A 13,191-nucleotide genomic window follows, 5' to 3' on the forward strand; every position below is an offset into this window, starting at 1 on the left:
AAGACCAGTCTGGGCAATGTGTCCAAACTGTCTCTACAAAAAATACAAAAATTAGCCAGGTGTGGTGGCACGAGTGCCTGTAGTCCCAGCTACTTGGGAGGCTGAGGTAGGAGGATCTCTTGAGCCTGGGAGATCGAGGCTGCAGTGAGCTGTGATTGTGACACTGTACTTCAGCCTGGGTGACAGAGCGAGAACCTGTCTCAAAAAAAAAAATGGCTATGATTTTGTATTGAGTCAAAATGAAAAATGTAGACTGAGAATAGTATGAAATATAAACCAAGAAATATATCAAGTATAAAACAATTTTTAAAAATTGATACAATAAGAGGAGGCAGATTTCATATCACTTCAACATTACTGATAAAATGGCTGGGCACAGTGGCTCACGCCTGTAATCCCAGCACTTTGGGAGGCTGAGGTGGGCAGATTGCTTGAGGCCAGGAGTTCAAGACCAACCTGGTAAACATGGTGAAACCCCGTCTCTACTAAAAATACAAAAATTAGCCAGGCTGTGGTGGCATATGCCTGTAATCCCAGCTACTTGGGAGGCTGAGGCATGAGAATCGCTTGAACCCAGGAGGTGGAGGTTGCAGCGAGTGGAGATTGCACCACTGCACTCCAGCCTGGGCGACAGAGCGAGACTCCATCTCAAAAAAAAATAAGAATAAAAATAAAATAAAAATTACTGATAAAATAAAGAGACATAAATTTAAGGAAGCAATTAGAACATATGTGTTAGAACCAGTTCCTCAATTCATATGTGTGAACATGGGTCACATTTGAGTCTTGAAGAGCTTACAGGAAATCCACATGTGATAATAATGAAAGGTTAAATGTTCTCAGCATTGAACACTCACTAGCTTCATCATTTCTGTAGTCTTTCCTTCCTCCAGCCAGATTATTTTTGGCTTTACTTTCTCTGGCCAGGACTGGGCTTCCTCTTCCTTTGGCTGTTGTCTTGGCTGCACATTATTGATATTTCTTTTAAAGAAGTAAATAATTCCTTCTTTGGCCACACACAATATAAACTCAATCTCTCTCTCCCTCTCTCTCTTTCTCTCTCTCTCTCCCTCTCTTTCTATCTCTCTCTCCCTCTCTCTTACACACACACACACACGCACACACACACACACACAGAGAGCTACTCCTAAAACTTCAAATAAAGCCAACCCTACAATTAGTGGTTTAGGAATGAAATTTCATACAGGGGTAAAAAGGGTGGTGTAAATCTGATGATATGAACAAAATGTTCCAGAGAATTTCAAGTAGTTATTTACTCCATAAATAAAGAGATGGCAAGAGCCGAACTTTTTTCATATTCTTTATCAATTCTCTACTTCCATAGCCCAAATCTAAGCATTTAAATTATATTACTATATAGGGTGGATTTAATATTTTATCTGATAATCATAAATCTCATTACAAGGAAGGGATTGAGTTTTAAGCAACTTTTTCTGTGACTACAACTTAATTATTTTTCTTCTTTGGTTGTGAGATTTTTGCCTTGATGTTTAGAGACTGAAAAGATACCTGAAAATGTGGAAGCAACTTTGGAACTGGGTAACAGGCAGAGGTTGCAACAGTTTGGAGGGCTCAGAAGAAGATAGGAAAGTGTGGGAAAGTTTGGAACTTCTTAGAGACTTGTTGAATGGCTTGCCCAAAATGCTGATAGTGATAAGGACAATAAAGTCCAGGCTGAAGTGACTCAGATGGAGATGAGGAACTTGTCGGGAACTGGAGCAAAGGTGCCTCTTGTTATGTTTTAGCAGAGAGACTGGTGGCATTTTGCCCCTGCCCTAGAGATCTACAGAACTTTGAACTTGAGAGAGATGATTTAGGGTATCTAGTGGAAGAAATTTCTAAGCAGCAAAGCATTCAAGATATGACTTGGGTGCTGTTAAAGGCATTCAGTTTTATAAGGGAAGCAGAACATAAAAGTTCAGAAAATTTGCAGCCAGACAATTCAATAGAAAAGAAAATCCCATTTTCTGAGGCAATATTTAAGCCAGCTGCAGAAATTTGCATAAGTAATGAGGAGGTGAATGTTAATCCCCAAGACAATGGGGAAAATGTATCCAGGCTATGTCAGAGGTCTTCATGACAGCCCCTCCCATCACAGGCCCAGAGGCCTAGGAGGAAAAAGTTATTTTGTGGGCCAGGCCCAGAGTCCCCATGCTGTATGCAGCCTAGGGACTTGGTGCTCTGCATCCCAGCCACTCCAGCCATGGCTGAAAGGGGCCAATGTAGAGCTCAAGCCATGGCTTCAGAGGGTGCAAGCCTCAAGCCTTGGCAGCTTCCACATGATGTTGGGCCTGCCAGTGCACAGAAGTCAAGAATTAGGGTTTGGGAACCTCTGCCTAGATTTCAGAGGATGTGTGGAAACACCTCGATGTCCAGGAAGAAGTTTGCTGAAGAGGCAGGGCCCTCATGGAGAACCTCTGCTAGGGCAGTGCAGAAGAGAAATGTGGGGTTGGAGCCAACACAGAGTCCCTCCTGGGGCACTGCCTAGTGGAGCTGTAAGAAGAGGACCACTGTCCTCCAGACCCTAGAATAGTAGATCCACTGACAGCTTGCACCATGTGTCTGGAAAAGCCACAGACACTCAGTGCCAACCCATGAAAGCAGCCGGGAGGGAGGCTGTACTCTGCAAAGCCACAAGGGCAGAGCTGCACAAGGCCATGGGAACCCACCTCTTGCATCAGCATGACCTGGATGTGAGACATGGAGTCAAGGGAGATCATTTTGGAGCTTTAAGATTTGACTGCCCCGCCGGATTTTGGACTTGCGTGGGCCCTGTAGCCTTTTTGTTTTGGCCAATTTCTCCCAGTTGGAATAGCTGTATTTACCCAATGCCTGTACCCCCATTGTATCTAGGAAGTAACTAACTTGCTTTTGATTTTACAGACTCATAGGCGGAAGGGACTTGCCTTGTCTCAGATGAGACATTGGACTGTGGACTCTTGAGTTAATGCTGAAATGAGTTAAGACTTTGGGGGACTGTGGGGAAGGCATGATTAGTTTTGAAATGTAAGGATATGAGATTTGGGAGGGGCCAGGGATGGAATAATATGGTTTGACTCTGTCCCCACCCAAATCTCATCTTGAATTGTAACTCCCACAATTCCCACATGTCATGGGAGGAACCCAGTGGGAGGTGATTGAATTTTGGGGGTGAGTCTTTCTTGTGCTGTTATCATGGTAGTGAATGAGTCTCACAAGATCTGATGGTTTTAAAAATGGGAGTTTCCCTGCACAAGCTCTCTTTTTGCCTGCTGCCACCCACTTAACATGTGACTTGCTCCTTCTTGCCTTCTGCCATGATTGTGAGGCTTACCCAGCTACATGGAACTATGAGTTCGCCATTAAACCTCTTGCCTTTGTAAATTGCCCAGTTTTGGGTATGTCTTTATCAGCAGCATGAGAACAAACTGATACAGTAAGCAAATTTCAATATAGAAGTCCAAGATAATGTTTGTTGCTTAGAATGGAAAAAAAATTGAACTATAAAATTGCTATTTTTACTTATCTTTTATTAATAGGGAATGAGAAGTCAATCAGGTCACTGGACTTTCCAGTTATCCCAAAGGCCACATATTAATAATGTTATTACACTACTATGACATTAGTAGTATTGACATCATTACCTTGGAAGAAGATACTTTTTATTTCCTGGCATTATTGAACAGAATATGTTGGTATCCCTTCTCCCATTTATTGATGGCAGTCATCATGAATAGTGAATGGTAACCGGCCTTCATGCTGTAAGGGTTGTCAGGTGAGGCAGCCTGGCCTGGTAGTGCAGCAAACAGACTCTGGAACTAGACCACCTGGGTTGAATCCTGGCTCTGCCAGTAATGCGTGGTATGGTCTTGGGCAAGTTATTTAGCCTCTTTGTACTTTAGACAGTTATTTTTTATTTTTTGAGACAGGGCTTTGCTCTGTCACCAGGCTGGAGTGCAGTGGCCTGATCTTGGCTCACTGCAGCCTCCACTTCCTGGGTTCAAGCAATTCTCCTGCCTCAGCCTCTCAAGTAGCTGGGATTACAGGCACACCCCACCACTCTTGGCTAATTTTTGTATTTTTAGTAGAGACAGGGTTTCGCCATGCTGGCCAGGCTGGTCTCGAACTCCTGACCTCAAGTGATCTGCCTGCCTTGGCCTCCCAAAGTGCTGGGATTACAGGTGTGAGTCACTGCACCCGGCCTGTACTTTATACAGTTATTTATAAAGACTAAATGATGTAGTTTTTGTAAAACAACAATAACAACAACAAAACCACCTGACATATAGTAAACATTTTGTGTCAATTAAATACAAATAAAAGTAATGCACTTCAGCAAGTGTAATTGAAGTATATATATAAATGACCATAGGGTGGCTTTTATTTTAACTTATGTTGATTTCTTTTAATACTTTTTCTGCCTTCTCTTTTCTGTTGGCTGCCAGTTCAGTACATTTCTAGTACTTAGCCTCACGGTTTTGTTGTTGTTGTTGTTGTTTTTGAGAAGGAGTCTCATTCTGTGGCACAGGCTGGAGTGCAGTGGTGCAATATCGGCTCATTGCAACCTCCATCTCCCTGGGTCAAACGATGCTCGTGCCTCAGCCTTCCAAGTAGCTGGGACTACAGGCGTGCACCACCATGCCTGGCTAATTTTTGTATTTTTTGTAGGGACAGACAGGGGTTTCGCTATGTTGCTCAGGCTGCTCTTGAACTCCTGACCTCAAGTGATCCACACACCTCGATCTCCCAAAGTGCTAGAATTACAGACATGAGCTACTGCACCCAGCCGTAGCCTCACATTTTAATTAAGCTACTGTTTCTATTTTGTGATGGCCTGGGTAATGAGAAAATCAATTATTTGAGTCATGTCTAAATTTGAATTGAATAGTTTGAAGATCTTTCTTATGAATCATGCATATGTTCTTTAGTCCTTGGATGAGGAGGCTTCTATCTGGCTTGATCAAAAATTTCCTCTTCTTCCAATCTTTAATTATGTTCTAAATAACTAAGGTCAATTGCTAACTGCTCTCTAGGTAACAGGGTTTATCACATCTTTTATTCTGTAAAGACATTCTGCATTGAGTATCACAGTTCCCTGTCCTTTCCTCCCCATTTATACAAATGCTTCCATGCAGCAGAAATCATTCTGGGATAGTATGGAATATGTTGGGCTAAGAGGAAGAGAAACAGCTATCATAGTGGATAATGGCTAGATGATCCTCTCTGTATTCGGCTCTCTGTGCTGACTGCAGAGAACTGCCATAAAGTTCTGCTCACTTCTGAACTGGCAATGCTTCCTAAGTATTTTTTAACCTAATCTGCATCTTTTCTACATGAAAGGAGGTGCTGGACTCCAATTGTGATGTGTGAAACAAGACAAGCTGTTAAAAACTCATAGAAATTGGCCGGGCGCAGTGGCTCACGCCTATAATCGTAGCACTCTGGGAGGCCGAGACGGGAAGATCACCTGAGGTCAGGAGTTCGACACCAGCCTGGCCAACATGGTGAAACCCTGTCTCTGCTAAAAATACAAAAATTAGCCTGATGTGGTCGAGTGCGTCTGTACTCCCAGTTCCTCGGGAGGCTGAGACAGGAGACTCGCTTGAACCCAGGAGGCAGAGGTTGCAGTGAGCTGAGATTGCACCCCAGCACCCCAGCCTGGGTGACAGAGCAAGACTCCGTCTCAAAACAAACAAACAAAAACTCATAGAAATCATCACCAGGTTGACTCCACTCCACTCCTTTCCACTTTTCCCCTTAAAAATGTCCAATAACCAGAAAACAAACAAATCGTTCTTTTGAAATTATTCTCCTTGGCCTTGTAGCTAATGGAAAAACTGAGCTTCAGAGAAATCTTGAAGGTAGCCAAGGAGAACTTAATTTAAGTCACAGTTATAAAATTTTAAGCTGAAAGAGTTCATAAGGATTACTTAGTCCGGTCTCCATGTTTTCAGGTGAGGAAACTGAGACTGGGAAAAGTGAATTGACCTGATTTAAAAAAATCACAAAGCCAGAACTTGATATTTTCAGTGCTGATGAGGGTACAATTTTTTTGTATTTCTAAGATGGAAGGTCCATGCTCCCTGAGTGCGGAGACCATCTTATCGCCTCTGCCTCAGCAACAATACCTCTGCCTTGGCCACAATACTTACTGCGGGCTTGGAGACATGTTGTAAATTGCACCAGTTTGTTGTCTCTCAGTTGCAAGTGATTAAAAGACAGACAAACAAACAACAACCTCAAGAAAAGCCCAGCAGACATTCATTTAAGGAAAAGGAAAAATGTAAATGGAGTAATTATGTAATTGAGAAATCTAGAAGGTTTGGTTTCAGGCATCCCACGGTCCAACAGCCCAAATAACATCAACAGAGCATGATTTCTCTGTCATGGATCTGTTCCACTCTCCTATTCTCGGATAGGTTCTTCCCTCATAGTTAAAAGATGGTTGCAAGCTGCTCTAGGCTCTGTATCCTCTAAGATTTAAGTCCAGTAAAAAAGAACCAATATCTCCTTCCCAGAAATCCCAGAAGTAGACTCACATCATCCTGTTGGCTCTGATTGAGACCGTGGTGCCATCCACAAAGCAATCACCGGGGCCAGGAGAAATGCGATACATTGATTGACTTCAGCCTGAGTCACATATAGTGAGAATGAGTACACAAATGATCTGAAAAAAGTTAATACACATATGTTATTTATGATTTGCTAACAAATACTTTTACAGCACTTATTCTGTCAGCTTGTTCTAAGAACTTTATAAATATTAACTCATTTAATCATCTTAACAACTCATTGAGATAGGTACTATTGTTATCCCCATTTTGGAAACGAGAAAACCAAGCCAAAGAGAGGTTATGCAATGTGCCCAAGGTCACACAGCTTGTAAGCAGCAGAGTAGCCACAATTCTAACACAGCCAGTCTTGCTCCTGAATACCTGCTTCTTCACTGCCTGAACCAAGTCATTTAATCCTCTCTCTTTCCATCTTCTTAACTACAACAGTTTACTAAAGCAGGGACTATGATTTTTCTTCTTGTGAGGAGGCTGGTTAACAGAAAGGGGAAGTGCTTTACGAAGGTGCACTGGCAGGGCCTGAGGTAAGGGGCTGATCTTGCTCTGCATGAGTAACAATTCATTCACCGTGTCCTGGGCTTCCTTTGCAAAGATGCTTTTTGGACCCCTCTTGTAGATGTGTTCATATGCACATCATATTGCTAATTCCTGAAATGGAGAAGATTTGCCAATAAACTTCTTGGAGATGGATAACTTCTTAAATGTCAAATGAAACACTGAGCCATTAAATTGTGCTGTTTAAAATGTCAGGGAAAACCATTAGTTTTGCAGATGGAGCTTCAGTGTGGTCTGGCTTCAGGCCTGTGAAATGACTCCTGTCTTGGAGAAGAATCCTTCTTTTCTTATTTTGAAATGTTGTTATCGTTTTGTCCAGAGAGTGGTTTAAGAAGCAGTGCTGGTCTCTGAGCCCAATGTAGCAATGGGGAAATAGTGTAATTCCTCCTGTCTCCTCCAAGGCGCTTCCACTCTATACTACCCTGCTCTTCCCAAAGTCTCCATGGACAGCTAGCAACTGTCCTGCTCTCTTCCTGGCTTCCTTCTTCCCCTCACCCCAGTTGCAAACCTCTGGGTCCTTCAGAATCCATTTCCAGTTGTGTTATTTTAAGCTGTTTTCCTGCACAGCACAGCAGAGGCTGGTAAAGTAGAAGTTATACTTCAAGAGAATATCAGAGCTGAGTGATTTTGAGGGGAACAGCCCTCAGGCAAGTACCAACGAATGACCAGTGCCAGTGGCGAGTTAGACCCTTGAGGCCTTGGGTCTATTTCTCCACACCTGTCACTTTCATCCAGGTATTGTCAGGTGATTAGGAGCCTGAAGCAAATCACCAAAAAGTAACCTGAAGTTTGAGTGCTACGTGTGGAAGTGGAGAGGAGAGGGTCTACTAACTTCCCTTGTAGAAGGAGAACTTGGAGAGGAGGAGTTAGCACTGCCTCTATGTGTTGGTGAAGCTCCAGCTTTATAAAGCACAATTTTAGTACAGTGAGCTCCTCCTCTTCCTCACTTCCTTGTTCATCATGACCCAGCTTGACCATCTCAGAATTGTTAGGTTGTAGGAGATGACCCCCAATATGTTTCTATATCTGAAATTATATGGTATGGCTTACCACATAATTTACAAAAAACAACATTAATTTGGGGGGAGATGGATAACTGTTTTGATAGCATAGGAGACCACTATCTTGGATCTCACCAAGACTCGATATGAGTATATTATTTTACAAATTCTAGATAGTCCCATTTATAAAGAACTCTGAATAGGGTGAGCAATGGGGCAGGGCATAGAGCCAAAAGCAGTGAACTGCTTGTCAAAAGGCTCAGTTTTTCCAACTCTAAAACCATCCAGCTGGGTAATGTTGAACAAATCAAAATCTTTCTTATCTTTTTTTCCCCTCTCTGGTGAAAAGAGGAAATAAACTAGATAATTTTTAAGATCTGCTTCCTGCTTGAAGAATCAAAGTTGTGTCTATGAAATCAGATTAAAACCATTAACAATTATTTTTTATGTCTGCAGTCTTAGAAAATTTAAATAAATATTTGTCCCTAGGTAACAGACAAGAAAACTGAGATACAGAGAGATTTATATGCCACCTAACATCAAAACCTAGAGCCCTTCTGAGAGATCATATTCCCTTGTACGATACTTGGTCAGTGAGTCACTAACCTCCATCACACAGGCCAGGCTGGCTCTTGCAGTCCCGGGAGTAACACAGTAATGTCAGTGGGTATGAATAGTTTGAGTCTCAGATCACTCAGCTGGGAGATGATATTTAGAACGATGGCTCAAAAACAATTCTGACCAAGCAAAGCATTAGTCAGCTTGGGAAAAACTTTATGGGTTGGGAAGAACTTCTCAGGGAGGGAGAAGTAACAGTATATTCTATTCATCCCAGGAGGACCATTGCCATAAATCCGTGAGGAAAGGATTTGTTTTGGACCTACACAGAGAAAAGGGAGGCAGTAAGGAAAAGCAAGCTGGATTGGGAGTTAGAAGACTATTTCTAGTTTAACTCTGCCAAATACTTAGCACAGGGCAAACTAGATACCCTTTCTGGCCTTCATTTCTTTATCTCTAAGATGGAAAGATAAGACTAGATGATCTCCAAACTTCTTTAAGCTCTGACATCTACTGGATTTCTTCCAAAAGCACAAACTGTTTCCTGTGCCACAGAGGTCATTCAGAGGCTTCTCCTTATTTTTCAAAATGAATCCTAAACAATTAGAGTGATTTCTCTTCTCATGGTTCCCGTCACCCCTCCTCTGTGTTCTCTTGAGCTTATGAATACCTCCCTATAAGTAGCCTCATCACAGCCTACTTTGTATTATAAAGAATATTATGTTTTCCTGTTGTGGGCTTTTGGCAAACAGTAACCAAGTAATTAATTTTAGGCTCTTCTAAAGCATGTAGTGAATGCTGCCTTCCCCTTTGTTTATTAGAATTGCATATTCAGGAAATTACAAGTCTATGATTGCTCAATATTTCAAGTATTACTGTTTCTCAGATTTTCAGTGCAAATGATTGAATAATTATTCCCTGTGTAACTTTCATGATACTATGCAAATACAGAACTCCTTTGCTTATGTGTACAATTATTGGTTCATAATTTTTTTATTAAGAGAGTAGCAATTTATATATGTATATGATTATGTGTTTGTATATATAAATATAGATATAGATATAGATATAGATATAGATATAGATATCTTTTTTCTCCTGTACCAGTATATATTTCCTTGGCTTCAATAATTGGCATTTTTTTTTTTTTGAGATGGAGTCTCGCACTGTCACCCAGGCTGGAGTGCAGTGGCACAATCTTGGCTCAATGCAACCTCTGCCTCCTGGGTTCAAGCAATTCTCCTGCCTCAGCCTCCCAAGGTAGCTGAGATTACAGGTGCCCACCACCACACCTGGCTAATTTTTGTATTTTTAGTAGAGACAAGGTTTCCCCATGTTGGCCAGGCTGGTCTTGAACTCCTGACATCAAGTGTTCCACCTGCCTTGGCCTCCCAAAGTGCTGGGATTACAGGTATGAGCCACCGCACCTCGCCGGCAATTTTTATATAATGTTTTTCATTTTTATGCTGGAGCCCACCTCACTTTTTCCAAGTCCTTCTTACATGTTGCTCATTATAAGGCCCTTATGAAGAATTTGAAAGTGGAAAGTGTTCTTCCAGGTCATCTCTGATCTAACCCCTTATTTTATGTTGAGAAAACAAAGGCCCAGAGAGTTTAAAATGTCACTGCCGGTCATAGCCAAGGGTGAGCTAGAACTGATGCGTCTCAATTTCCAGCCCAATGACTGTTTCTCTGCTATAGCACAGTAATATTTATGGACATATCACATAAAACATATCTATTTATATAAGTATAAGCATAAGAATATTTATGTTTGGTTTACATTCTCTTACAGAAAGGTAGAGAAATTCAGGTATATATTTTTTCTCTTGAATGTCTTAGAGATTTGCATCTTTATGAATATTATTCATTGGTTGAAGAAAACATTGCTAAGTAAGTAGAAGATATGTATCCTGTTTCTTTAGAAGCCTATTTCATGCTGTGCCAAGGGGATAGAGTACAAGTGCTGGTTAATAATTTATAGTATATATTCATCTCCATTCCTCTTTGACTAAAATATTAATTCCCCATTGATCATCATTATTTGCTTTTTGCCCAGGCAATATGCAATGTGCAGAGAGTTTGATGAAAGGGTTATTTCCTAATCTCATCATGCCCCCTGTGCTCTGCCAGTAATTTACTGACTTTATTTACTTGTGGTAATGAGCACACCACGTAGAGTGTGCCAGCTGCTGGGATTGTCCTGGGTGCCTTCTTTCTAAGGCAGGATGATGTAAAAAGCACAGATGTTTTTCTAATTTAGCATCTGCAGCATGTGCTTGCATTTATATTACATTTTTCATGGAACAATGCAGGTGAATATATAATATAAAAAACCACACTGGGTGCAGTGGTGTGCGCCTGTAGTCCCAGCTACTCAGGAGGGTGAAGCCCAAGGATCCTTTGAGCCCAGATGCTTGAGACCAGTGTCTACAACATAGCAAAACCCCATCTCTAAAAAAATAAAAATAAAAAATCTCAGCTTGATTTAATAAAATGAGTTTATTTAAAATATCTCGAGAAGTGTTTGGAGGGTGTATGTGTATTTAGGCTTGTTTAAAAAAACAACAGGTCCTGGAAGATGGGGCATAGAACATTTGGTTTAATGGCTTAGAAATTGTATAATTCTAGAATTTGTATAATTTTTGTATATATAGATATTTTTGTATATATGCTTACACTGTGTGTACTATATATATATATATATAATTTGTGTAATTTTTCATAATTTATAATCCAGGCAACAGAAGAAATCTAGTATGTAAGCCATCCTTTACTATATATGCTAAAGGAGAGAGGCTTTTTATATTTGAATTGGTAACAAGGAAGTCAATCTGCAAATCATTCTTTGTTTATGTGAAGTGCAGTTTTCAACTTGTATTTGTCTAAGAATATCTGCCTTTCCAAAATGTGAGCATTTCCACTAGACTGTGAAGCCATGGGGGTAACTGATGAAGGAGGAACTAGCTCTTGTCCCACTTCCTCTTTGGGCTACTAGTTCATTCCCTTTCTATGCCTTGCTGAGTTGGGAATTGATTGCATCATCCTCACACCAGTAGACCTATGGGCTAGCTCCTCTCGCCCCTTCTCTTTCTGACTTTCATCTCTGCCTTCCTCTTTTTAAAAAATATAAACATTTCTGCTTTCATCTTCTCCCACTACCTCTTTAAAACCTTCTGCTAATATAAATGAACTCAAGAACTGCAAGAGCTCTTGGCACACTGAGTTTATGGGCTGCACCGCATGTCCATCACATACTCGTATTTTTTTCATAGTTGAGCCAATGGTATGACAACCATGGGGTGTTTGGTTGCTTATAACACACTTCAAGGACAGTGGATTCATATTACGATTGCTCTTGCTCAGATGGTGGCCCAGTTCTTCCTGAGGTAAATCTGTTTGAAGAGTCATCTAAGCAATTCCTGCATATTGGGGGCGAGGAGGAGACAGTCTTTGTGTTCTAGGCTCGAATATCGTAACTGCCCTACTTGGCAAGTCACCATTTAATATATCAATTCTTCATGTATATATGTATCAATTAGGATCTAGCAAAGAAATCAGAAACCACTTTAAGTATTTACAAGAGAAGAAATTCAATTTGGGTACAGGAATTGTTTACACAGGTGCTGGAGAAGCTGGAAGCCAAACGGGTTTATCAACAGAAAAAGAAGTGAAAGAGGTAAGGCCCCAGGAGCCAGGGTCAGCTGGCAGTGGCTAGAACCACGGCAGGCCTGCCCAGCAGGAGCTGAAGCCAGAGAAGGGACCTGTCTGTCACCTGAGAAACCATCCAAGGTGGAGGAGCTGTGGCTTCAGGCTTCTTCCCACTCCTCATCTCCTCTACACTCCCAAGCCTGCGCCTCACATTGCCCAATCACAGAGGGCAGCCAGTGACACTGGAGCTCAGGAAAGGCAACCTGTTGAGGTCAGCTCCTCGTTGAAGAACATATAGATCGGAGCTGGATGGTCAGTGAGGCGGGAGGGGAGGCATAGGAAATGGAAAGGAGAAGAATGGGTCATATTGTGAAGAGGCTCAAGACACACATAAAAGTCACCATCTGACCCTGAGTCTCTTGATCCCCATTACTGGTGAAATCTGAGTGCAGGTTTAGGAATCCAAGTGGGCAAGGATCACGAATCTGAAGGTTTTCCAGAGGCTCCCTGTGGTTCTTGGAGTACCTGTTTAAGCTCCCTTCTCTTTAGGACTTTCTGGTTTTTCTCCTCTTGCCAACTGCCTACACCACTACTTCCTTGTTTAAACTTTCCCTGCCATCACTGGTCAGAATTATATGGGTTTACCAGGGAAAACCTGAAACCTTCTTCAGCTAGCTCACAGCCTTGGTTGAAGGTTAGATTAATCAAGTCAAGGATGTTGATGTCTTCACAAGTGTTGCTTAAGCCTTAGAGGTGGGATCAGGTCTTCTTCAAACACCTGCACAGGAAATGATCCCTGAGTGCTATGCTGGGCTTTTTGCTCCACTGTCAAGCGCTCATCACATACCACCAAA

General features: G+C 41.7%; 1 long non-coding RNA gene across 1 annotated transcript in view; it reads right to left on the reverse strand.

Moving 5' to 3' along the window:
- LOC107984238 (uncharacterized) overlaps window positions 1-8,811 on the reverse strand; it is a 55,035-nt gene extending 46,224 nt beyond the window's left edge. Inside the window, exons 1-2 of the long non-coding RNA XR_001747468.2 lie at window positions 8,735-8,811; window positions 6,540-6,667 (exon numbers count right to left, since the gene is read on the reverse strand). This is a non-coding gene — a long non-coding RNA (uncharacterized LOC107984238). The remainder of the gene's footprint in view (window positions 1-6,539; window positions 6,668-8,734) is intronic.
- Window positions 8,812-13,191: the final 4,380 nt, after the last annotated feature.

Source organism: Homo sapiens, chromosome 10 (genome assembly GCF_000001405.40).
Source record: "Homo sapiens chromosome 10, GRCh38.p14 Primary Assembly".
NCBI classification, from domain to species: Eukaryota; Metazoa; Chordata; class Mammalia; order Primates; family Hominidae; genus Homo; species Homo sapiens.